This window comes from Homo sapiens, chromosome X, assembly GCF_000001405.40.
Source record: "Homo sapiens chromosome X, GRCh38.p14 Primary Assembly".
In the NCBI taxonomy this organism is placed as follows: domain Eukaryota; kingdom Metazoa; phylum Chordata; class Mammalia; order Primates; family Hominidae; genus Homo; species Homo sapiens.
In genome coordinates, this window is record NC_000023.11 from 58,207,071 (window position 1) to 58,234,523 (window position 27,453).

Below are 27,453 nucleotides of genomic sequence, written 5' to 3' on the forward strand. Positions count from 1 at the left end.
CTAACAATAGGAACATCTAGCTGACCCAAAGGATTCTAACAGGAGAGACACCTGGCCAACCCCAGGCATTCTAATGATAGAGAATCCTCGCCTAACCCAGGCATTCTAATAATAAATAATTCTGTATGAATCAGTCATTCTATGGACAGAGACACCTGGCTGACCTCAGGAATTGTAATGGGAGAGACTTCTGGCTGACCCCACATTCTAACGGGAGAAACTCCTGGTTGAACCCACACATTCTAATGATAGAGACTCCTTACACACCCAAGGTGCTTTAATAATAGAGAAACCTGTGCGACCTCAGGCATTCTACAGATAGAGACACCTGGCAGATTTCAGGCATTCTAATGAGAGATACTATTGGTTGTCCACAGGCATTCTAACCGGAGAGACTCCTGGCCAACCCCAGTCATTTTAACCATAGAGACACCTGGGGGACCTCAGACATTTTAAAGGGAGAGACTCCTGTCCAACCCTGGCCATTCTAATAATAAAGGTTTGTGGCCAAACCATGGTATCCTAATTATAGAGATTCCTGGCCTACCCTACTCATTCTCATGATAGAGAAACTTCTGTGATCTCAAGCACTCTAAAAATAGATACACCTGAACGAACCCAGGCCCTCTTACAGCAGAGACTCCTGGCCGATTCCAGGCATTCTAAGATAGTGACACTTGGGCGACCTCAACATTCTAAGGACAGAGGCATCTGACCTACACCAGGCATTCTAATGCTAGAGACACTTGGGCGAACTCCTCAGGCATTCTAAAGATAGAGACAAATGGCTGACCCAAGACATTTTAACGAGAGAGATTTTTTTCACCAGCTGAGGCTTTCTAATCATAGAAGTTCATGGTCAAATCCTGGCATTCTAAAGATAGACACACCTGGGCAACCTCAGGCATTCTAAAGATAGACACACCTAGCTGACACCAGGCATTCAAACGGAAGAGACTCCTGGGTTACCAGAGACATTCTAATAATAGAGACCCCTGGCCTACCCCAGGCTTTCTAATGATAGAGACACCTGTATGACATCAGGCTTTCTAAGGATAGAGACATACGGCCTACCCAACTCATTTTAATGGGTCAGACTTTTGACAGACCCTGGGCATTCTAACGGGAGAGACTCCTGGCCAACTCCAAGCACTGTAATGATAAAAACACCTGGACGACCTCAAGCATTCTAAAGATAGAGACACCTGGACAACCCAGGCATTCTAACAAGAGAGACTCCTGCTGACCACAGACATTCTAATGATAGAGGAACCTTGGTGACTTCAGGCATTCTAAAAATAGAGACACCTGGCTGACCAAAGGCATTCTAATGAGAGAGACTTTTGGCCAACTCCAGGCATTCTAATGATAGAGACTCCTGACCAACCTCAGGAATTCTAATGACAGAGATACATTGGCAACATCAGGCAATCTAACAATAGAGACATTTGGCTGACCCAAGGCGTTGTAACAGGAGAGACTCTTGGCCTACCTCAGGCATTCTAATAATAGAGAAACCTGTGCGAGTAAGTCATTCTAGTGATAGAGATACCTGGCAGACCCCAGGCATTCTAGTGGGAGAGACTCCTGGCCGACCACGCATTCTGATGGGAGAGACTCCTGGCCAAACCCAGACATTCTAATGATAGAGACTTCTGGATGACTTTGGGCATTCTAATGATAGAGACACAAGGGCGACCTCAGGCATTCTAATGCTAGGGAAATAGGGGCGAACTCAGGCATTCTAAGGATGCCTTGATGGACCGCAGTTATTCTAATGGGAGAGGCTCCTGGCCAACCCCATGTGTTCTAATGATAGAGACTCCTTACATACCCGAGGCGCCTTAAAGATAGAGGCACCTGTGTGACCTCAGACATTCTATTGATAGAGACACCTGGCCGATTTCAGGCATTCTAATGAGAGATAATTCTGGTTTCCCACAGGCATTCTAACTGGAGAGGGTCCTGGCCGACCCCAGTCATTCTAATCATAGAGACACCTAAGGGACCTCAGGCATTCTAAAGGGAGAGACTCCTGGCCTACCCCACTCATTTTTATGATAGAGAATCTTCTGTGATCTCAAGCATTCTAAGGGTAGATACACCTGAACGAACTCAGGTCTTCTTATGGGAGAGACACCTGGCCAATTCCAGGCATTCTAAAGATAGTGACAGTTGGACGACCTCACAATTCAAAGATAGAGACGTGTGGCCTACATCAGGCATTCTAATGGAAGAGTCTCCAGGCTGACCCCCAGACATTCTAATGCTAGAGACAGCTGGGTGCACTAAGGCATTCTAAGGATCGAGACATCTGGTTGACCCAAGATATTTTAACGGGAGAGATTTTTTTGACCAACTGAGGCTTTTTAATGATAGACATTCATGGCCGAATCCTGACATTCTAAAGATAGACACACCTGGGCAACCTCAGGCATTCTAATGATAGAGAAAACTAGCTGACACCAGGCATTCAAACAGAAGAGACTCCTGGGTTACCAGAGACATTCTATTAATAGACTCCTGGCCTACCCCAGGCATTGTAATGATAGAGACACCTGTGCGATATCAGGCATTCTAAGGATAGAGACATACGGCCTACCCAACTCATTCTAATGGGTCAGAATTTTGGCAGACCCTAGGCATTCTAATGGGAGAGACTCCTGGCCAACTCCAGGCATTCTAATGAGAGACAAAACTGGGCAACCTCAGGCATTCTAAGGATAGAGACACCTGGTTAATCCCAGGCATTGTAAAAAGAGAGACTCCAGGCTGACATTAGACATTCTAATGATAGAGACTCCTGGCAGACCCCAGGCATTCTAGTGATAGAGACACCTGGGTGACTTCAGGCATTCTAAGTATAGAAACACCTGGCTGACCCTGGCATTCTAACGGGAGTGACTACTGGTCGACCCCAGGTATTCTAATAGTAGAGACTCCTGGCCTACAACAGTTATTATAATGACAGGGACACCTGTTTGATGTAAGGCAATCTAAAGGTAGAGACATATGGCCAACCCAAGGCATTCTAATGGGAGAGAATCTTGTGTGACCCCAGGCATTTTAAGGATAGACAATCATGTTCTACCCAAACATTCTAAGGATAGAGACAAATGGATGACCTCAAACATTCTAAAGATAGAGACAGCTGGCCGACCTCAGGCATTCTAACAGGAGAGACTCTGAGCCAAAACCAGGCATTCTAATGTTACAGACATCTGTGCTACCTCAGGCATCATAAGAAAAGAGACATGTGGCGGACACCAGATATTCTAACAGGAGAGACTCCTGGGCAATACCAGGTTGTAACAGGAGAGACTCCTAGCAGATTTCAGGCATTCTAATGACAGAGACACCTGGGTGATCTCAGGATTTCTAAAGATAAAGACACCTGGCCGAAACACAGGCATTCTAATGGGAGAGACTCCTGTCCCAGCCCAGGCATTCTAACAGAAGAGAATCCTGAATGACCCCAAGCATTCTAATGATAGAGACACCTGGGCGACATCAGGCATTCTAAGGATGGAGACAACTGGCTGACAAAAGGCATTCTAATGGGAAGGACAGCTGGCCGACCCCAGGCATTAAAATGACAGAGACTCTTCATTGACCTCAAGCATTCTAATGACAGAGACACCTGGGAGACCTCAGGCATTGTAAGGATAGAGATATCTGGAAGAACCCAGGCATTCTAATGGGTGAGACTCCTGGCTGAATCCAGACTTTATAACAACAGAGATTCCTGGCCGATCCCAGGCATTCTAACAATAGACAGTCCTGGCTGACCTAAAGCATTCTAATGATAGAGATGCCTAGGTGAACTAAGGAATTGTAAAAATAGAGACACCTGGCCAACCACAGGCATTTTAATGAGAGAGGCTTCTCGCTAACCCCAGGCATTCTAATAATAGATACATGTGTGCAACCTGAGACATTCTAAAGATAGAAACACCTATGGTACCCGAGGCATTCTAAGGATAGAGACATCTGGCCTACTTCAGGCATTCTAACAGGAGAGATCTAGCTGGTTGATCACAGGCATTCTTATCTGAAGAGACTCTTGGCCAACCTCATGCATTCTAGTGATAGAGACACCTGTGGGACATTAGGTAATCTAAGGATAGAAACTCCTGGCCCATCCCAAGCATTCTAATGGTAGAGACAAATGGCCCTCATCAGGCATTTCAATGATAGAGACAACTGTGTGACCTGAGGCAATCTAAGGATAGAGACATCTAATCAATCACAGGCACTCTAACGGGAGAGACTCTGGACCCACCTCAGGCAATGCAAGTATAGAGACTACTGGCCAACCCCAGGCATTCTAATGATAGTATACCTGGGCGACCTCCATCATTCTAAGGATAAAGACACCTGGCTGACCCCTGGGTTTCTTATGGGAGAGACACCTGGCCTACTCCAAACATTTTAATGATAGAAACACTTGAGCGATATCAGGCATTTTAAAAATAGAGACACCTGGCCAACCCAAGGCTTTCTAATGGGAGAGACTTTTGGCCAAACCCCAGGCATTCTAATGATAGAAACACCTGTGGGACCTCAGGCATTTTAAGTATGATGACACCTGACCCACACCAGGCATTCTAACGAAAGAGAATCCAGGCTGACATCAGACATTATAATGATAGAGACTCCTGGCCTTTCCCAGGCATTCTAATGATAGACAACTGTGAGACCTCAGTCATCCTAAGAATACAGACATCTGATCATCCCCAAGAATTCTACAAGACAGACTCCTGGCCAACCCAAGTCGTTCTATTAATACAGACACCTGGGCGATCACACATATTCTGATAGTGACACTTGGCCAAACCCAGGCATTCTAACGGGAGAGACTCATGGCCAACAGCAGGCTTTCTAATGCTAGAGATGCCTGGCTGATCCCAGGCTTTCTAATAATAGACACCTGGGAAAAGTCAGGCATTCTAAAAATGGAGACACTAGGCTGAACCCAGACATTCTAACAGGAGAGATTAAAGGTTGACCCAAGGAATTCTAATGGGAGATAGTACTGGCCGAACCCATGCGTTCTAATGATAGAGACTCCTGGCCTGACCCCTGCATTCTCATGATAGAAACACAGTTGCGACCTCAGGCATTCTAAAGTTAGAGACACCAGGCCAATTTCAGGCATTCTAATGGGAGAGACTCCTTGCCGCCCCCAGGAATTCTAATGATAGAGACACCTCGGTGATCTCAGGCACTCTAACAATAGAGATACCTGGCATACCCAAGGCATTCTAAAGGGAGAAAGTCCTGGCCGAATTCCAGGCATTCTAATGATAGAGATCCCTGTGCGACCACAAGTACTTTAAGGGTACAGACCCTTGGCCAAATCTAGGCATTATAATGATAGACATTTCTGGCCTATCTCAGGCATTCTACTGATAGAAACTCCTGGGCGACTTCAGGCATTCTAAAGATGGGGACACCTGGCAGTACACAGGCATTCTAATGGGAGAGACTCCTGGCCAGCCCCAGGTATTCTAAAGATAGAGACACCTTGGCGATATCAGGCATTCTTAGGATAGAGACACCTGACTGATCTTAGGCATTTTAATGAGAGAGACCTTTGGCTGACCACAGGCTTTCTAATGATAGAGACTCCTGGCCAACCACAGGCATTCTATTGATGGAGACACCTTGGAGACCTCAGCCTTCTAAAGATAAATACACCAGGCCAAGCCCAACATTCCAATGAAAGAGAAACCTGGCTGGCCCTAGTCATTCTGATGATACAGACCCCTGGCTGACCCCAGGCATTCTAATGATAGAGACACCTGGGTGACTTGAAGTATTCAAAGAATAGTGACACTGGCTGATCCCAGGCATTCTCTCAGGAGATACTAAAGGTTGACCCCAGGCATTCTAATGGGAGAGACTCCTGACGACCCCAGGCCTTTTAATCTTAGAGACTCCTTACTGACCTCAGGCATGCTAATAATGAAGACACTTGGCCGACCTCAGGCATTTTAATGGGAGAGACTCCTGGCCGACGCCAGTCATTCTAAAAATAGAGACATGTGGCCGACCTCAGTATTCTAATGGGATAGTCTCTTGGACAACCCCAGGCATTCTAAGAATAGAAACACCTAGGCAACCTCAGGCATTTTAACGGGAGAGACTCCTCATTGACCTCATTTATTTTAAGGATAAAGACATCTGGCAGAACGCAGGAATTGTAAGTACAGGGACTGCCTGGCTTACCCAAGGCATTCTAATGATAGAGACACCTGGGTGAAACCCTGTATTCTAAGGATACAGTCACCTGTCTGACTTCAGGCATTTTAATGTGAGAGAGTCCAGCCATCCCTAGCCATTCTAAAAATAGAGACATCTGGCCACACTCAGGCATTCTAATAGAAGACACTCCTGGCTGACCGGAGGCATTCTAATGAAAGAGACTCCTGGTCAAACTTAGGCATTCTAAGGATAGAGACACCTGACAGAATCCAGGCATTCTAATGGGAGAGGCTTCTGGCCACCCTCAGGCATTCTAATTATAGAGACACCTGGGCGACTTCCAGCATTCTAAAGATAGAGACACCTGGCCAAATTCAAGCATTCTAACGGGAGTGACTCCTGGCTGACCCCAGGCATTCTAAGGGTAGAGATATCTGGCCAAACTGAAACATTATTTTTTTGAGACTTAGTCTCACTCTGTTGCCCAGGCTGGAGTGCAGTGGCATGATCTTGGCTCACTGCAACCTCTGCCTCCTGGGTTCAAGCGATTCTCCTGCCTCAGCCTCCTGAGTAGCTAGGATTACAGGCACACACCATCACACCTGGCTAATTTTTGTATTTTTAGTAGAGATGTGGTTTCACCATGTTGGTCAGGCTGGTCCGGAAATCCTGACCTTGTGATCCACCCACCTCAGCCTCCCAGTGCTGGGATTATAGGCATGAGCCACCACACCCATCTCCTGGGCTCAGGCATTCTAACCGAAGAGTCTCCTGGCCAACCCAGGCATTCTAATAATAGAGAAACCTGGGTGACCTCAGGAAGTCTATGGACAGAGGTTCTTAGCTGACCCCAAGAATTCTACTAAGAGACATCTAGGTGGCATCAGGCATTTTATGGATAGACACTCCATGCCAACCCGAGGCATTTTAATGATAAAGACACTTGATAGAACTCAGGATTTATGCGGATAGAGACTTTTGGCCGACCACCAGCATTTTAATGATAGAAACCTAGGCGACCTCCGGCATTCTAAGGATAGAGATCCCTGGCCGACTTCAGGCATTCTAATGATAGAGACATCCAGCCAATATCATGCATTCTAAAAATAAAATGCATGGAGTCCTGGTCGACTCCAGGCATTCTAATGGTAGACACCTAGGTGACTGCAGGCATTCTAATGATAGAGACTCCTGACTGACCACATGCATTCTAATGTGATAGATTCTTGGCCGACCATAGACATTCTAATGCTAGAGAAACCAGGGTGACCACAGACATTTTAAAGATAGAGACTCCTGGCCAACTCCAGGCATTCTAATGGGAGAGACTTCTGGTTGACTTCAGGCATTCTAATTATAGAGACACTTGGATGACTTCCAGCATTCTAAGGATAGAGGCACCTGGCCGAATTCAGGCATTTTAATGGGAGAGACTCCTAGCTGACCCCAGGCATTCTAAGGTTAGAGATATCTGACTGATATCAGGCATTCTAATGGGAGCATCTCCTGGCCAACCCCAGGCATTCTAATGATAGAGACACCTGGGTGACCTCAGGCATTCTATGGATAGAGGCTCCTAGCTGACCCCAGGATTTCCAATGGTAGACACATGGGTGACATCAGGAATTCTAAAAATAGAGACTCCCAGCCTACCTCAGGCATTCTAATGGGAGAGACCCCTGTACAACCCCAGGTCTTCTAATGATGGAGATACATGGGCAACCCCAGACATTTTAAGCATAGAGACAGCTGGGCGACCTCAGGCATTCTAAGGTTAGAGACTCCTGGCTGACCCCAGGCATTCTAATAATAAAGACACCTGGGTGACCTCAGAAATTTTAAAAATTAAGACTACTGGCCGACTCTAGGCATTCTAATAATAGAGACACCTGGGTGATCTCAGACACTCTAAGGACAGAGACATCTGGTACACCTCATTTATTCTAACAGTTGAGTTGCTTGGTGAATCCAGGCATTCTAATGATAGACACACTTGGGCGACCTCAAGCATTCTAAAAATAGAGACTCCTGGCTGACCACAGAAATTCTAATGATAGACACCTGGGCAACCTTAGGCATTCTTAGGATAGAGACTTCTGGCAAACTCCAGGCATTCTAATGATAGAAACACCTGGGTGACCTCAGGCATTCTATGGATAGAGGCTTCTGGCTGATCCTAGGCATTCTAATGATAGACACATGGGTGACCTCAGAAATTCTAAGGATAGAGACTCCTGGCTGACCCCAGCCATTCTAATAACAGAGACACCTTTTTGACTTCAGGCTTTCTAAAGATAGACTCCTGGCCGTCCCCAGGTGTTCTAATGAGAGAAATTCCTGGCCAACCTTAGGCATTCTAATCATAGAGACAACTGCTAGACCTCAGGCATTCTAATGGAAGAGACTCATGGCCCACAACAGGCATTTTAATGATTGAGACAACTGGCGACCTCCAGCATTCTAAGGATAGAGACATGAGGTCGAGTTCCAGCATTCTAATGTAAACACTCCTGGTTAATCCCAGGCATTGTAAAAATAGAGACAATTCTCTGACCTCAGGGATTCTAACAATAAAGTTTCCTGTGTGACCCCAGGCATTCTAACAGGAAAGACTCCTGGCTGAACACAGGCATTCTAAGGATAGAGACACCTGGCTGACCTCAGGCATTCAAACGGCAGAGAGGCCTGGCTGACCTTAGGCATTCTAAGGATAGAGACATCTCGCTGACCACAGGCATTCTAATTACAGAGACCTGGGCGACCTCAGGCATTCTAAAAATAGAGACTCCTTGTCGAACCCAGGCATTCTAATGATTGAGATACCTGTGTGATCCCAGGCATTCTAAGGATAAAAACTTTTGGCCAACCCCATTCATTCTAATGATAGAGATAGCCAAGCGACCTCAGACATTCTAATGATTGAGAAATCTGTCTGAACTCATGCATTCTAAAAGTTGATTCTCCTGGCCGAATCCAAACATTCCAGCAATAGAGACACTTGTGTGACCTCAGGCATTCTAAGAAGAGAGACTCCTGACCAACCCCAGGCATTCTAATAATAGACAACTGGTTGATCTCAGGCATTCTAAGGAGAGAGATTCCTGGCCTAACTCAGGCATTCTAATGATAGAGATAGCTGGCTGAGCTCAGGCATTCTGAGGACAGAGACTCCTGGCCGACATCAGTTGTTCTAATTGGAGAGACTACTGGCCGATATTAGAAATTATAAGGGGAGAGCCACCTGGGCAACCTCAGGCATTCTAGTGAAAGGGATAACTAGCCAACCTCATTTATTCTAACATGAGAGACTCCTGATTGACTTCAGGAATTCTGAAGAAAAGACTCCTGGCTTACTTCAGGCATTCTAGTAGGAGAAACACCTGGTCGACCAAAACAAGGAACAAGCTATCTGTGAATATATTTATGTTGTGTGGATTAATGGAATATGTGTTTTCATTCACCAGATTGGAAACACATTTTTGTAGATTCTATGAAGAAACATTTCTGAGCCCACTGAGGTCCATAAAAAAAATTGAATATCCCACAATAAAATCTAGAAATAAGCTATCTGTGAAAATGATTTGTGATGTGTGGATTTATCCCACAAAATGGAATCTCTATTTTTATAAATCAGGTTGGAAACACTCACTTTGTAGAATCTACAAAGGGACATTTCTGAGCCCATTGTGGCTACCAAGGAAAATCAAATATCCCATGTTAAAAAGTAGAAACAATCAGTCTGTGAAAATGCATTAAGATTTGTGGTTTTCTCTCACAGAATGGAACCTGTGTTTTTATTCACCAGGTTGGAAACACTCTTTTTGTAGAATATACAATGGGACATTCCTGATACTACTGAAACCTATAGTAAAACACCTAATAACCTGTGATAAAAACTGAAATCAAGCTATACGTGAAAATGCTTCATGATTTGTGAAATCATGTCACAGAATGGAACCCGTGTTCTGATTCACCAGGTTGAAAACACTCTTTCCATGAAAGAACTAAGAGATATTTCTGAGACCATAGGGGCCTCTAAAAAAATCAAATAATCTGCGATGAAAACGAGAAACAAGCTATTTGTGAAAACGCTTTGTGATGTGTGGATTCATCTCAAGGAATGGAACCAGTTTTTTGATTAACAAGTTTGGAGACACTCTTTTTTTAGGATGTTTGAAGTGACATTTCTGAGCTCATTGAGGCCCACAAGAGTAAATCTAATATCGTGCTATAAAAACTAAAAGCAAGCTATCTATGAAAATGCTTTGTGATGTGTGGATTCATCTTATAGAATGGAGCCTGTGTTTCAATTCACCAGGCTGGAAACACTCTTTTGGTAGAATCTATGAAGGGACATTTTGGAGCCCACTGAGGCCTATAGTTAAAAACTGAATAAACCGAGATAAAGAAAAATTTCAAAAAAAGATACGTGTAAAAATGCTTTAAGAAGTGTCAATTTATCTGACAGAATGGAACCAGTGTTTTGATTTATCAGGTTATAAACATTCTTGTTGTGTAGTCTACGAAGGGACATTTCTGAACCCTTGAAGCCTGTGGTAAAAAATAAAATATCCTGCAATAAAAAATAGAAGACAAGCTATTTATAAAAATGCTTTGTGATGTGTGGCTCCATCTTAGAGAATGGAACCTGTGTTTTGATTCACGAGGTAGGAAACACTCTTTTTGTAGAAGCTAGGAAGGGACATTTCTGAGCCTATTGACACCTCTCTAATAGAAAATGAAATATCCTGTGATACAAACTAGAAAAATATATCTGTGAGAATGTTTTGTGATGTGTGGATTCATCTCGCAAAATGGAACTTGTGTTTTTATTCACCAGGTTGGAAACACTCTTGTGGTAGAACCTATGAAGGGTGATTTTCAGCCCAATGAGGCCAACAAGAAAAAATTGAATATCTTGCTGTTAAACTATAAACACACTCTCTGTGAAAATGCTTTATAGTGTGTATTCATCTAACAAAATGGGTCTTTTGTGTTGATTCACCATGTTCACAACACTATTTTGTAGAATTTACAACAAGACAGATCAGAGCCCATGTAGTCAAAAAGGAAAATTGAATATCTCATGATAAATACTAGAAACAAGCAATATGTGAAAATGCTTTGTGATGTGTGGTTTCATCTTACAAAATGAAACATGTGATTTGATTCACCAGGTTCCAAACAATCTTTTTCTAGACTCTATGAGGGGACAATTATGAGCCCATTTAAGCCTATAATAAAATATGAATATCCCATGATAAAAACTAGAAACTTCTATATGTGAGTACATTAAAGCCTACATTTAAAAAAAACCGAATATCCCATGCTAAAAACTAGAAAGAAGCTATATGTGAAAATGCCTTGTGATGTGTGGATTCATGTCACTAAGTTAAACCAGTGTTTTGATTTACCAGGTTTTAAACACTCTTTTTGTAGAATCTACAGAGGGACATTTCTGAGCCAATTGAAGCCTATACTGAGAAACCAAATATCCCCCCAAAGAAACGTGAAATACCCCATGTGTGAAAATGCTTTGTGATATGTGGATTCACTTCATAAAATGAAACATGTGTTTTAGATTCACCAGGTTAGAAACACTCTAGTGGGTGAAATTCACCCCCCGATATTTCCCGTAGGTTCTTTTCTATTTTCCTTAAGTGTCAGCCAGTCTGAGAAATAAAAGGAAAGAGTACAAAAGAGAGAAATTTTAAAGCAGGGTGTCTGGGGGAGACATCACACATTGGCGGGTTCCGTGATGCCCCCTGAGCCATAAAATCAGCAAGTTTTTATTAGTGATTTTCAAAGGGGAGGTGGTGTATGAAAAGTATGTGGGTCACAGAGATCACATGCTTCACAAGCTAATAAGATATTGCAAGGTAAATGGAGGCAGGGAGAGATCACAGGACCACAGGACAGGGGCAAAATTAAAATTGCTAATGAAGTTTTGGGCACTCATTATCATTGATAACATCTTATCAGGAGACAAGGTTTGAGAGCAGACAACCGGCCTGACAAAAATTTATTAGGTGGGAATTTCCTCGTCCTAATAAACCTGGGAGCACTACGGGAGACCAGGACTTATTTCATCCCACTGCTGTGACCGTAAAAGACAGCTGCCCCCAAAGCAGCCATTTTAGAGGCCTCCCCTCAGGGACACATTCTCTTTCTCGGGGATGTTCCTTGCTGAGAAAAAGAACTCAGCAATATTTCTCCTATTTGCTTTTGAAAGAAGAGAAATATGGCTCTGTTCTTCCCGGCTCACCGGCAGTCAGAGTTTAAGGTTATCTCTCTTGTTCCCTGAACATTGCTGTTATCCTGTTCTCTTTTCAAGGTGCCCAGATTTCATATTGTTCAAACACACACGCTCTACAAAAAATTTGTGCAGGTAACGCAATCATCACAGGGTCCTGAGGTGACATACATCCTCCTCACCTTACAAAGATGACAAGATTAAGAGATTAAAGTAAAGACAGGCATAGGAAATCACAAGGGTATTGACTGGGGAAGTGATAAGTGTCCATGAAATCTTCACAATTTATGTTCAGAGATTGCAGTAAAGACAGGCATAAGAAATTATAAAAGTATTAATTTGGGAACTGACAAATGTTCATGAAATCATCACAATTTATGTTCTTCTGCCATGGCTTCAGCAGGTCCCTCCTTTCGGGAGTTCCTGACTTCCTGGAACAATACTTTTCCTGTGGAATCTGGAAAGGGAAATTTCTGAGCCCACTGAAGCCTATAGTGAATAACCAAATATCCCATGATAAAAACTAGAAATAAGTTATATGTGAAAATGCTTCATGATTTATAGATTCATTTCACAGAGATAAACTACTGTTTTTATTCACCAGGTTGAAAACCCTCTTTCTGTAGGATCTATGAAGGGACATTTCTGAGCTTGTTGAAACTGATAGTGAAAAACTGAAACAGATAGTGAAAAACTGAAACAAGCTATCTGTGAAAATGCTTTGTGTTGTGTGGATTCATCTCACAAAATGGACTTTTATTTTGATTTACCAGGTTGAAAACTGTCTTTTTGTAGTATCTATGAAAAGACATTTCTGATCCCATCAAGGCCTATAGTTAAAAACAGAATATCCCAACTAAAACCTAGAAAATAGCAGTGTCTGAAAATGATTTGTGATCTATCAATTCATCTGACTATAACGGAACATGTGTTTTTATTCCCCAGGTTGGAATCATCCTTTTTGTAGGACCTACGAAGGGATATTTCTGAGCCCATTGAAGCCTATACTGAAAAACCGGACATCTTGTGATAAAAAGTAGAAACAAGGTATGTGTGAAAGGGCTTTTTGATATGTGAATTCATCTTACAGAGTTAAAACTCGGTTTTGATTTACTAGTTATTAAACACTGTTTTTGTATTACCTACAAAGGGACTTTTCTGACCCCAGTGAAGCCTACAGTGAAAAACTGAATGTCCCATGATAAAAACCTGAAAGAATCTATGTGTGAAAATGTTTTGTGATATGTCGATTCTCTCACAGAGTTAAACCTGTGTTTTCATTCAGCAGGTTGGAAACTATTTGTAGAATCTATGAGGTGACATTTCAGAGCCCATTGAATTTTATAGTGAAAAACCTAATATCCCATGATAAAACCTAATATCCCGTGATAAAACATAGAAACATGGTATACGTGAAAATGCTTTGTGATGTGTGGCTTCATCTCACATGGTTAAGCGTGTGTTTTGGTTCACCAGATTGGAGATCCTCTCTTTGTAGAATCTACAAAGGGACATTTCTGAGCCTATTGAAGCTTTACTCAAAAATCAAATATCCCACAATAAAACTTGGAAGCAAGCTATATTTGAAAATGTTTTGTGATGTGTGAATGCATCTCACAGAAAGAAACCTGTATTTTGTATCACCAGGTTGGAAACAGTCTTGTTGTAGAATCAGCGAAGGGACATTTCTGAGCCGATTGGTGCTCATAAGATAAAATAGAATATCCAATGAGAAAAACTAGAAACAAACTGTCTGTGAAAATACCTCGTGATGTGCGGATTTATCTCACAAAATTGAACCTCTGTTTTTATCCACCAGGTTGCAAACCTTTTTTTTTTTTTTTTTGTAGAAAATGTGAAGGGATATTTCTGAGCCCTTTGAAGCCTATGATGAAAAACTCAATATCCTTATGTAAAAACTAGAAACAAGCAATATGTGAGAATGCTTTGTGATGTGTTGATACATCTAACAGGGATAATATTCTATTTTAATTCACCAGGTTGGAAACACTATTTTTGTAGAATCTATGAGTGGACATTTCTGTGCTTATTGAAGCCTACAGTAAAACATCAAATATCCTGTGATGAAAACTAAAAAAAAAAGCTATCGGTGAAAATGCGTTTTGATGTGTGGATTCGTTTCACAGAGTTAAAAACGTATTTTGGTTCACCATGTTGTAAATACACTTTTTGTAGAATGTACAAAAAAAAAAAATTCTGAGCCATTTGAAGCCTGCATTAAAAAACTGAATATCCCACAATAAAATCTAGGAAAAAGCTATGTATGAAAATGTTTTGAGATGTGTCGATTTATGTTCCAGAATTTAAAAATTGTTTTCATTCACCACGTTGGAAACATTCTTTATATAGAATCTACGAAGGGACATTTCTGAGTTTATTGAAGCCTATTGTGAAAAACCAGATATTCCACAATAAAAAGTACAAAGAAGCATTCCATGAAAATGCTTTGTGATATGTGGATTCATCTCACATAATGGAACCTGTGTTTTGTTCCACCTGGTTGAAAACACTCTTTGTAAAATCTACGAGAGGACATTTCTGAGCCCATAGAAGCTGATAGTGAAAAACCTAATAGTCCTCAATAAAAACTAGAAACAAGCTGTCTGTAAAAGTTTTTTGGGGTGTGTGGATTCATCTCACGGATTTAAACCTGTGTTTTGATTCACTAGGCTGGAAACACTCTTTTTAGAATGTATAAGGGACATTTCTGAGCCCACTGAAGGTTATAGTGAAAAACAGAATATCCCATGATAATAACGAGTAACAAGCTACATGTGAAAAACCTTTGTGATGTGTGGAATCCTCTCACAAAATGGAACCTGTGTTTTGATTCACTAGGAGGGACAAACTCTTTTTGTAATGTAACTCATGGGCCATTTCTAAGTCCATTGAAGCCTATAGTGTAAAGTGGAATATCTTGCGATAAAATCTAGAAAGAAGCTATCTATGAAAACTTTTGTGATGTGTGGATTCATCTCTCAGAGTGGAACTTTAGTTTTGTTTCATCAGGTTGGAATCCCTCTTTTTCTAGAATCTACAAAAGGACATGTCTGAGCCCATTGAGGCGTATAATAATACGCCATGATAACAACTAGAAACAAGCTACCTGTGACCTCAGACATTAAGGAGAGACTCCTGGCCAACCCCCGGCATTCTAATAATGGAGAATCCTGGCTAATCCCATCCATCCTAATGATAGAGAAACCTGTGCAACTTTGGGCATTCTAATCATAGAAACACCTCAGTGACCTCAGGCAATCTGAGGATAGAGACACCTGCTGGAGCCCAGGCATTCTAACAAGAGAGACTCATGGGAGACCCCAAACAATCTAATGGGAGAGACCCCTGGCTGATCCCAGGCATTCTAATGATAAAGACACCTGAGTGAGCTCAGGCCTTCTAAGGATGGAGACAGCTGGCTGATCCAAGGCATTCTAACAAGAGAGACCCCTGGCCAACACCAGGCTTTCTATTTATAGAGACTCTAGGTCTACCCCAGGTATTCCAATAATAGAAACATCTGTGCAACCTTAGGCATTCTGAAAATAGAGAGAGCTGGCTGACACAAGGCATTTTAAGAGACATACTCCTGGCAGTCTCCAGGTATTCTAATGATAGAGACTCCTGGCTTACCCCATTTCTTCTAATTATAGGAACACCTAACCAATGCCAGGAATTCTAATGGAAGGGAATCCTGGCCAGCCCCAGGCTTCCTAATGATAGAGACTCCTGTCCTACCCCAGGCATTCTAATGAAAGAACCTGGGAGAACTTAGGCATTCTAAGAATAGTGACAACTGGCCTGACCCCTGGCATTGTAATGGGACAGACACCTAGTCAAACACAGGCATTCGAGTGATAGAGTTTTCCAGCCTACCGGAGTCAATCTAATGACAGAGATTCCTGTGGGACCACACACATTCTAAGAATAGAGACACCTGGCCAACCCCAGGCATTCAAACTGGAAATGCTTATGGACATCCACACGCATTCCAATGATAGAGAAACATAGGTGACATGAGGTTTTCTAAGGATAAAGACACCTGGCCAACCCCAGGCGTTGTAAGGGGAGAGACTCCTTGCCAACCCCAGGCTTTCTACTGATAGAGACTCCTGGCTCACCCTAGGTATTCTAATAATAGAGACACCTGTGGGACCTCAAGAATCCTAAGGATATATACACCTTGTTGACCCCAGGCATTCTAATTATAGTGACTTCTGGACAACCCAAGGCAATCTAAAGATAAAGGCTCCTGGCCTATCCCAGGCATTCTAATGACAGAGACCCCTGTGGGATCTCAGTCATTCTAAAGATTGAGACACATGGGCAACCCCAGGCATTGTAACAGAACTCCTTGCTGACCACAGGCATTCTAATGATAAAGAAACCTGTGTGAAATCAGGCATTCTAACAATAGAGACACTTGGCCAACTCCAGGCATTCTAAATGGAGAGACTTTTGACCAACCCCGGGCATTCTAATCATAGAGACACCTGGGTGACATCAAACACTCTAAGGATAGAGACACGGCCTACCCCACATATTCTAATGAGAGAGAGTGGTGGCCAACTGGGACATTCTAATTATAGAGGCTACTGACCTAGCCCAGGAATAGTAATGATAGAGACACCTGTGTTACCTAAGGCATTCTACAAATAAAAATACCTGGCTTACCCCAGGCATTCTAATGGGAGGGACTCCTGGCCAACCTCAGGTATTCTAATGGAAGAGACCCCTGGCCAAACCTAGGCAATCTAATGGTAGAGATTCCTGGCTCACCCCAGGCATTCTAATGATACAGACACCTGAGGGACTTCAGGCAATTAAAGGATAGACACCCCTGGCCACCCCAGGCATTCTAATGATAGAGGCAGCTGGGAGACCTCAGACATTAAAATGTTAGAGACAACTGTGCTGTCTCAGTCATTCTAATGATTGAGAGAGCTGTCTGGCCCCAGGCATTCTAATGGGAGGGACTCCCAGTTGACCCCAGGAATTCTACTGATAAAGACTCCTGGTCTACCTGTGGCTTTCTATTGATAGAGACCCCTGTGTGACCTCAGGCAATCTAACAAAAATACTCCTGGTGAACCCCATGCATTCTAATAACAGAGACACCTGGGCGACATAAGGCATTCAAAGGATAGAGACACCTGACCCACCCCAGGCATTCCAATGATAGAGACTCCTGGCTGACCCAAGGAATTCTAATGATTGAGACTCCTGGCCTATCTAAGGCATTCTAAGGATAGAGACAGAGGTGCGACCTCAGGAATTCTAAGGATAGAGACACTTGCATTACCCAGGCTTTCTAACGAAAGAGACTGCTTTCTGACCCCAGGCATTCTAATAATGGAGACACCAGAACGAGCTCATCATTCAAAGGATAGAAACACCTGTACAACCCCAAGAATTCTAACAGGAGAGACTTGTGGCCGACTTCAGGCATTCTAATGATAGAGACTCCTGGCCTAGCCCAGACATTCTAATAATAAAAACACCAGTGTGACCTCAGACATTTTTAAGAGGAAGAAACTTGGCCAACCCCATGCATTCTAACCGGAGAGACTTCAGGCTGAAACCAGGTATTCTAATGATAGAAACTCATGGCTGAGCCATGGCATTCTGATGATGGAGGCTACTGTGAAACCTCAGGAACTCTAAGGATAGAGAAAGCTCTTTTGCCCCAGGCATTCTAATGGGAGAGACTACTGGCCAAACCCAGTCACTATAGTGATAGAGATGCTTGGCCTAACCCAGACATTCTAATGGTAGAGACACCTATGCGACCTCAGGCATTCTAAGGATAGAGATCCCTGGCCGACCCCAGGCATTCAAATGAAAGATTCTCCCTGCTGACCCCAGGCATTCTAACAGGAGAGACTCCTGGCCTATCCCAGGCATTCTAATTTTACAGACACCTCTGAGACCTCAGGCATTCTAGGAATAGAGACACTTCACTGACCTCAGTCATCCTAACAAGAGAGACTCCTGGGTGAAACATGGCATTAAATGATAGAGACACCTGGGAGACTGCAGACAATCTAAAAATAGAGACACGTGGCTGAACTGAGGAATTCTAACAAGAGAGAATTTTGGCGGACCCCTTGGGATTCTAACAGGAGAGGGTCCTGGCCAAACCCAGGATGTCTAATAATAGAGATCCCTTGCTGACCCCAAGCATTCTAATGATAGAGATACCAGGGCGACCTCAGGCATTCTAAGGATAGAGACAAGTGGCCGACACAAGGCATTCTAATGAGACTCCTGGTTGACCCTAGGCATTCTAATAAGAGAGACTCCTGGCCTACCCCAGGCATTCTAATGTTAGAGAAACATCTGAAACCTCAGGCATTTTGAAAGTAGTGACACCTGGTGAGCCCCCAGCATTCTAAGGATGGAGACACCTGGCCTAAACCAGAAATTTAAACAGGAGAGACTCCTGGACGACCCCAGACATTCTAATGTAGACACCTGGCTTACCCCAGGTATAGTAATGATGGACACATCTGTGTGACCTGAGGCATTCTAAAAATAGAAACACTTGGCTGACCCCAGGTATTCTAAAGGGAGAGACTCCTGCCCAACAATAGGCATTCTAACAGGACAGACTACTAGCCGACCCTAGGCATTCTAATCATAGAGATTTCTGGCTGATTCAGGAATTCTAATGATAGAGACACCTGGGGGACCTCAGGCATTCTAAGGATAGAGACAACTGGTTGACCCCAGGCATTCTAAAGGGAGAGAATCCTGGCAGACCCTTGGCATTCTAAAAGTAGATACAACTTGGTGACCTTCTAAAGATAGAGACGCATGGCCGAACCAAGGCATTCCAATGGAAAAAAAATTTGCAGACCCTCAGCTTTCTAACAGGAGAAAGTTCTGGCAAAGCCTAGGCATTATAATGACAAAGACTCCTGGCCTACCTCAAAAGTTCCAAGGATAGAGACACCTGTGATACCTCAGGCATTCTAAGGATAAAGACACCTGGCTGATTCCAGGCATTCGAACGGGAGCAACTCCTGGCCGAACCCAGTCATTCTAACCAGAGAGACTCCTGGCCAAACCTAAGCATTGTAACGATGAAGACAAATATGTGACCTCAGGCATTCCAAGGATAGGGACATCTGGCCAACTGAGGCATTCTAACGGAAAGACTCCTGGCCAAACCTTGATTCTGTAAGAGAAGAGATTCCTGGTGGACTCCTGACCAATCCCTGTCTTTCTAAGTATAAAGACACTTGTGCAACCTCATGCATTCTAAGTTTAGAAATACCTGGCTGACCCATGGCATTCTAACGGTAGAGATTCCTGGTCAACCAGAGGCATTCTCATGATAGAGACTCCTGGCTGACCCCTGGCATTCTAATGATAAAGACACCTGGGCGACCACAGGCATTCTAAAAATAGAGCCAGTTGACTTACCCCAGGAATTCTAATGGGAGATACTCCTGGCCGATTCTAGAAATTCTAATGATAGAAACTCCTGGCATACACCAGGCTTTCTAATGTTAGAGACACCTCTGCGACCTCAGGCATTTTAAGGATAGAGATACCTGGCCGACCCCAACCATTCTAATGGAAGAGACTCCTGGCTGACTCCAGGCATTCTAGTGGGAGATACTCCAGGCCTATCCCAGGAATTCTAAAGTTAGAGACACCTCTGAGATCTCAGGCATTCTAAGTAAAGAGACACCTTGCAATTCCAAGTCATCCTAATGGGAGACTCCTGGCAGACCCACACATTTTAATGGGAGAGACTCCTGGCCGAACACATGCATTCTAATGATAAAGACACCTGGGCGACCTCAGGCATTCTAAGGATAGAGACATCTGGCCGACCCAAGGCAATCTAATGTGAGAGACTTCTGCTGGACACCAGGCTTTCTAATGATAGAAACTCCAGGCCTCCCCCAGGCATTCTAATGAAAGAGACACCTGTGTAATCTCAGGTATTCTAAGGATAAAGAATCCTGGTTGACCCCAGACATTCTAATGATGGAGACTCCTGGCCTACTGCGTTCATTCTAATGATACAGTAACCTGTGCAACCTCAGTCATTTTAAGGATAGAGACACCTGGACGACCTCAGGCATTCTAATGGAAAAGACTCCAGTTTGACCCCAAGCTCTCTAATGATAGAAACTCTTGAATGAAGCCAGGCATCATAATAATAGAGACACGTGGGCGACCATAGGCATTCTAATGATAGAGACACCTGTGTGACCTCCTGCATTCTAAGAATAGAGATACATCGCTGACCTTAAGCATTCTAATGAAAACATTCCTGGCCATCCCCGCTCGTTGTAATGAGAGAGATTCCTGGGCAGCATCAGGCATTCTAAAAATACTGACATCTGGCCTATGCCAGGAATTCTAATGAGAGAGATTCCTGGCCGACCAGAGGCATTGTAATGATAGAGACTCCTGGCCTACTTCAGGAATAATAATTATAAAGACGCCTGTGTGACCTCAGGCATTTTTAAGTACAGAAAACCTGGACTACCCCAGGCATTCTAATGGGAGAGAATCCGGGCTGACCCCAGACATTCTAACAAAAGAAACTGTCGGCCAAATCCAGGCATTCTAAGGATAGAGACACGTGGAAAACATCAGTCATTTAAGGATAAAGACGCCTGGCTGACCTAAGGCATTCTAACGGGAGAGAGTACTGGCCAACCCAAAGCATTTTAATGATAGAGACCCCTGGCCGCCAAAGGCATCCTAACGATAGAGACAGCTGGGCGACATCAGGCATTCTAAGGACAGGGACACCTGGCCAACCCCAGGCATTCTAACTGGAGAGACTCCTGGCCGACTCCAGGCATTCTAATGGGAGAGGTTCCTGGCAGACCCCAGGCATTTTAAGTATAGACACCTCTGGCCATCCAAAGGCATTTTAATGATACAGAACATGGCTGACCTCATGTATTCTAAGAATAAAGACACCAGGGCGAGTCCAGGCATTTCAACGGAAGATACTCCTGGCTGACCAAAGGCATTCTAATGATACAGACACCTGTGTGACCTCAGTCTTTCTACGGTTAGAGACACCTGTCCAACCCCAGTTATTCTAATGGGAGAGACTACTGGCCAACCCTAGGCATTCTAATGATAAAGTCTTCTGGACGAACCCAGGCTTTCTAATGACAGAGACACCTGGGCGACCTCAGGTATTTTATGGATAGAGACACCTGGTCAACCCAGGAATTCTAACCACAGTGACTTTTGGCCGAACCCAGGCATTCTAATGATACAGACTCCTGGGAGGCCTCAGGCATTCTAAGGATAGACACCTGGCTGAGCCCAGCCATAATAATGGGAGTGACTCCTGGCTGACCCCAGGCATTCTAATGAGAGAGACTCCTGGCCTATTCTAGGCATTCTAATGATAGAGACACCTGTGTGACATCAAGCATTTTAAAAATAGAGTCACCTGGCCTTCCCCATGAATTATAATGAGAGAGACGCCATTTCAACTCCAGGCATTCTAATAATAAAGACACCCTGGCAATCTCAGGCATTCTAAAGATAGTGACACTTGGATGACCTCAGGCATTCTAACTGGAGAGACTCCTGGTTGACCCCAGGCATTCTAATGATGGAGACTTCTTGCCTACACGAGGCGCTTTAATAATAGAGACACCCAGGTGATCACAGGCATTCTATGGATTGAGACACATGGAGGACCCCAGGCATTCTAACAGGAGAGACTCCTGGCCATCCCCACACATTCTAATGAAAGAGACTCCTGGTTTTTTCCAGGCATTCTAATGAGAGAGACACGTGTAAAACCTCAGTCACTCTAAGGATAGAGACACCTAGCTGACCTCGGTAATTCTAACAGGAGAGACTTTTAGCTGACCCCAGGCATTCCAATGAGACAGAATCCTGGCTGACCCCAAGCATTCTAAGAATAGAGACACCTGTGCAACTTTTGGCACTCTAAGGACAGAGACACCTGGCCGACCTTAGGCATTCTGCTGGGGAGATTCCTGGCTGACTTGAGTCAATCTAATGAGAGAGACATCAGGGCAACCTCAGGCATTCTTAGAGACACCTATTCACCTAATGGGAAAGACTCCTAGCCAACCCCAGGCATTCTAATGGGAGAGACCTAAGGCTGAACCCAGGCATTGTAATGATAAGATTCATGGACTAACCCAGGCATTCTAATAAAAGAGACACCTGGGGGACCTCAGACATTCTAAGGATGGAGACACTTGACTGACCCAAGACATTCTAATGGAAAAAACTACTGGCTGACATGAGGCATTCTAACAACAGTTCCCTGGCCGCCACAGGCATCCTAATGATAAAACCACCTGGGTGACCACAGGCATTCTAAGAATAGGGACACCTGGCCGACCCCAGGCATTCTAATGGCAGAGATTCTTGGCTGACTCCAGGCATTCTAATAATAGACTGCTGGCCGACCGACCTCAGACATTTTAATGATAGAAACATATGGCCGACCCCAAGCATTGCAATGGGAGAGAATTCTGGCTAACCCCAGGCATTCTAATAATAAAGACTCCTGGCCGACCACAAACATTCTAATGATAGAGACACATGGAGAACCTCAAGCATTCTAAGAACAAAGAAACCTGGTTGAGCCCTGGCATTTCAATGGGAGACACTCCTGGTCAACCCAAGGCATTCTAATGATAGAGACTCCTGGCCAAAAACAGGAATTCTAACGATTGAGACACCGGGGTGACCTCAGGCATTCTACAGATAGACACACTTGGCCAATTCCAGACATTCTAACGAGAGAGACTCCCGGCCAACCCAAGTCATCCTAATGGGAGAAACTACTAGTCAACGACAGGCATTCTAATGATAAAGTCTTCTAGCAGAACTCAGGCATTCTAATGAGGGAGACACCTGGGGGACCTCAGGCATTCTACGAATAAAGACACCTGGTAGACACAAGGCATTCTAACGTGAAAGACTTCTTCTGGACATGAGGCTTTCTGATGATACAGACTCCAGGCCTATCCCATGCATTCTAATGATAGAGACTCCTGTGAGATCTCATTCATTCTAAGGATAAAGACACCTGGCTCACCCTAGGCATTCTAATGGGAGAGACTCCCAGCTAACCCCAGGCATTTGAAAGATAGAAACTCCTGGCTTACTGCATTTATTCTAATGATAAAGAAACCTGTGTGACCTCAGGCATTCTAAAGATAAAGACACCTGGCCAACCTCAGGCATTCTAATGAGAGAGACTCCAGTCCAACCCCAGGCTTTCTAATGATAGAGACTTTTGAGCAACCCCGCAACCTCACAATTCTAAGGATAGATGCACCTGGCTGACCCCAGACATTCTGATGGGAGAGACTTCAGGCCTAACCCAGGCATTCTAATAATAGATGCTTTTGGCTGACACCTGGCATTCTAATGATAGAGACACCTAAGTGACATCAGGCATTCTAAGGATAGAGACCCCTGGCCGACTTGAGGCATTTTAAAGTGAGCAACTCCTTGCTGTCCCAAGCATTCTAATGATAGAGACTGCTCACATACTCCAGACATTCAAATGATAGGGACACCTGTGAAACTTTGACATTCTAAGGATAGAAACACCTGGATTGCCCAAGGCATTATAATGGGACAGACTCCTAGCCAACCAGAGGTATTCTAATGATAGAGAATTCTTGCCTACCGGAGTCATCGTAATGAGAGAAACACCTGTGTGACCTCAGGCATTCTATGGATAGAGACACCTGGCCGACCCCAGGAATTTTAATGGTAGAAACTCCTGGCCGACCACAGGCATTCTAATGATAGAGACTCCTGGAAGACCTCAGGCAGTCTAGAGACAGAGACTTCTGGCTGACACCAGGCATTCTGAAGATAGAGAAATCTGGGCAACCTCACCATTCTACAGATAGAGACACCTAAGTGACATCAGGCATTCTAAGGATAGAGACAGCTTTCTGACCCCAGGCATTCTAAAGGGAGGGACTTATGGCCGCCCCTAGGCATTCTAATGATAGAGACTGCTGGCCTACTCCAGGCATTCAAATGATAAAGATACCTGTGCAAACTTGGGCATTCTAAGGATAGACACAGCTGGCCCACCAAAGGCATTCTAATGGGAGAGAATCCTGGCCAACCAGAGACATTCTAATGATAAAGACTTCTTGTATACCCCAGGCATTCTAATGATAGAAATGCCTGTGTGACCTCAGGCATTCTAAGGATAGAGACACCTTTCTGACCCCAGGCATTCTAATGGGAGAAACTCCTGGCTGACAACAGGCATTCTAATGGGAGACCCTCCTGGCTGACCACAGGCATTCTAATGATAGAGACTCCTGGACGACCCCAGGCTTTCTAAACACAGAGACTCCTGGCCAACTACAGGCATTCTAATGATAGAAACACCTGGGTGACCTCCCCATTCTAAGGATAGAGACACCTGGTCAACTTCAGGCATTCTAAGGATAGAGACATCTGGTCGAAGCCAGGCATTCTTACAAGAGTGACCCCAGGTTGACCCCAAGCATTCTAATGTTAGAGACTTCTGTTTAACTCAGGCATTCTAATGATAAAGACACCTTTGCCACCTCTGGCATTCTAAGGACAAAGACACCTTGCTGGCCCCAGGCATTCTAATAGGAGAGACTCCCAGCCAACCAAGAACATTCTAATAATAGAGACACCTGGGCGACTTCAGGCATTCTATAGATAGGCACACCTGGCCAACCCCTGGCATTTGAATGGGAGAGACTCCTGGCTGACCCCAGTCATTCTAACATGAGAGACTACTGGCCAAACACAAGCATTCTAATGATAAAGCCTTCTGCTCAAACCCACCATTCTAATGACAGAGACACCTGGGCAACCTCAAGCATTTCAAGGATAGAGACACCTGGCCAACCCAGGCTATCTAACAAGAGAGACTTTTGGCAGACTTCAAGCATTTCAAAGATAAAGGCACCTGGGGGACCTCAAGCACTCTAAGGACAGAAACACCTGGTTGACCCCAGGCATTTTTTTTTTTTTTTTTTTGAGATGGAGTTTCAGTCTTGTGGCCCAGGCTAGAGTGCAAAGTTGCCATCTCAGCTCACCGCAACCTCCGCCTCCTGGGTTCAAGTGATTCTCCTGCCTCAGCCTCCTGAGTAGCTGGGATTACAGGCATGTGCCACCTCGCCCAGCTAATTTTGTACTTTTAGTAGAGATGGGGTATCTCCATGTTGGTCAGGCTGGTCTCAAACTCCTGACCTCAAGTGACCCGACCACCTCAGCCTCCCAAAGTGCTGGGATTACAAGCATGAGCCACCACGCTCGGTCACTGACTCCAGGCATTGTAACGGGAGAGACTTCTAATGTACCACAGGCATAAGAGTGATAGAGACTCCTGGCCTACCCCAGCAGCCCTAATGAAAAAGACACCTGTGAGAGCTGTAGCATTCTAAGGATAGAGACACCTGAGTGACCCCAGGAATTAAAACAAGAAGGACAACTGGCCTACTCCAGGTATTCTAACAGAAGAGACTGCTGCCCAACCCCAGGAATCTAATGGTTGAGACACCTGGGCGACCACAAGCATTCTAACAGTAGCGACACCAGGCCGACCGCAGACATTCTAACGGAAAAGACTCATGGACGAGCCCAGGCATTCTAATGATAGAGACCCCTGGCCTACCCCACACATTCTAATGATAGAGTCACCTGGGCGACCTAAGGCATGCTAAGCATAAAGACACCTGGCCAACACAGGCATTCTAAAGGGAAAGAATTTTGGTTGATCCCAGACATTCTAATGAGAAAGATTCTTGGCTGACCACAGGCATTGTTATAATAGAGACACCTGGGGGGCCTCAGGCATTCTAAGGATAGAGACACCTGGCCTATCCTAGGTGTTCTAAAGGGAGAGATTCCTGGCATTTTCCAGGCATTCTAATGATAAAGAAAACTGTTCACCATCAGGCATTCTAAAAATAGACACCCTGCCAACCTTAGGCAGGATTATGATAGAGACACCTGGGGAACCTCACGCATTCTAAAGATGAAGACTCCTGGCCAACCCCAGGCATTCCAATAATAAAGACTCCTGGCATACACCAGGTATTCTAATGATAGAAACACCTGTTCGACATCAGGCATTCTAAAGATAGAGACACCTGGCTGAACCACCAGGCATTAAAATGGGAAAGACCCTTGGATGACAGCAGACATTCCAGTGATTGAGATTCCTGGATGACCTTAGACATTCTAATGACAGAAACACCTGGGTGACCTCAGGCATTCCAAAGATAGAGACTCCTGGCCAACTTCAGGCATTCTAATGATAAAGACCCCTGAATGACATAAGGCATTCTAAGGGTAGAGACACCCGGGTGAACCCGGGCATTCTAACATGAGAGTTTCCTGGTCGACCCTAGGCATTCTAATGATAGAGACACTTGGGTGACCCTACCATTCAAAGGATAGAGGCATTTGGCCAGCCCTAGGCATTCTAATGAAGGAGACTCCTGGCCAACCCCAGGCTTTCTAATAATAGAGACTCCTGGTCTATCACAAGCACACTAATGACGGACACCTGGGAGACCTCAGGCATTCCAAAGAAAGTGACAACTGCCCCACCCAAGGCCTTCTAACAAGAGAGACTCCTGGCTGATCCCTGGACTCTAACGGGAGAGACTCATAGCCAACCACAGGCATTCTAATGATAGAGACACCTAGGTGACATCAGGCATTCTAATGATAGAGACAGCTGTGTGACCTCAGTCATTCTAAAGCTAGAGACACCTGGAAGACCCCAATCATTCTACCGGGAGAGACTCCTGGCCGACCTGAGGCATTCAAATGATAAAGACTCTTGGCTGGCCTACCCCATGCATTCAAATGATAGAGAAACCTGTGCGACCTCAGGCGTTCTAAAAATAGAGACACCAGGCCAAATCCAAGCATTCTAGTGGGAGATATTCCTGGTCGAACCCAGGGATTCTAAA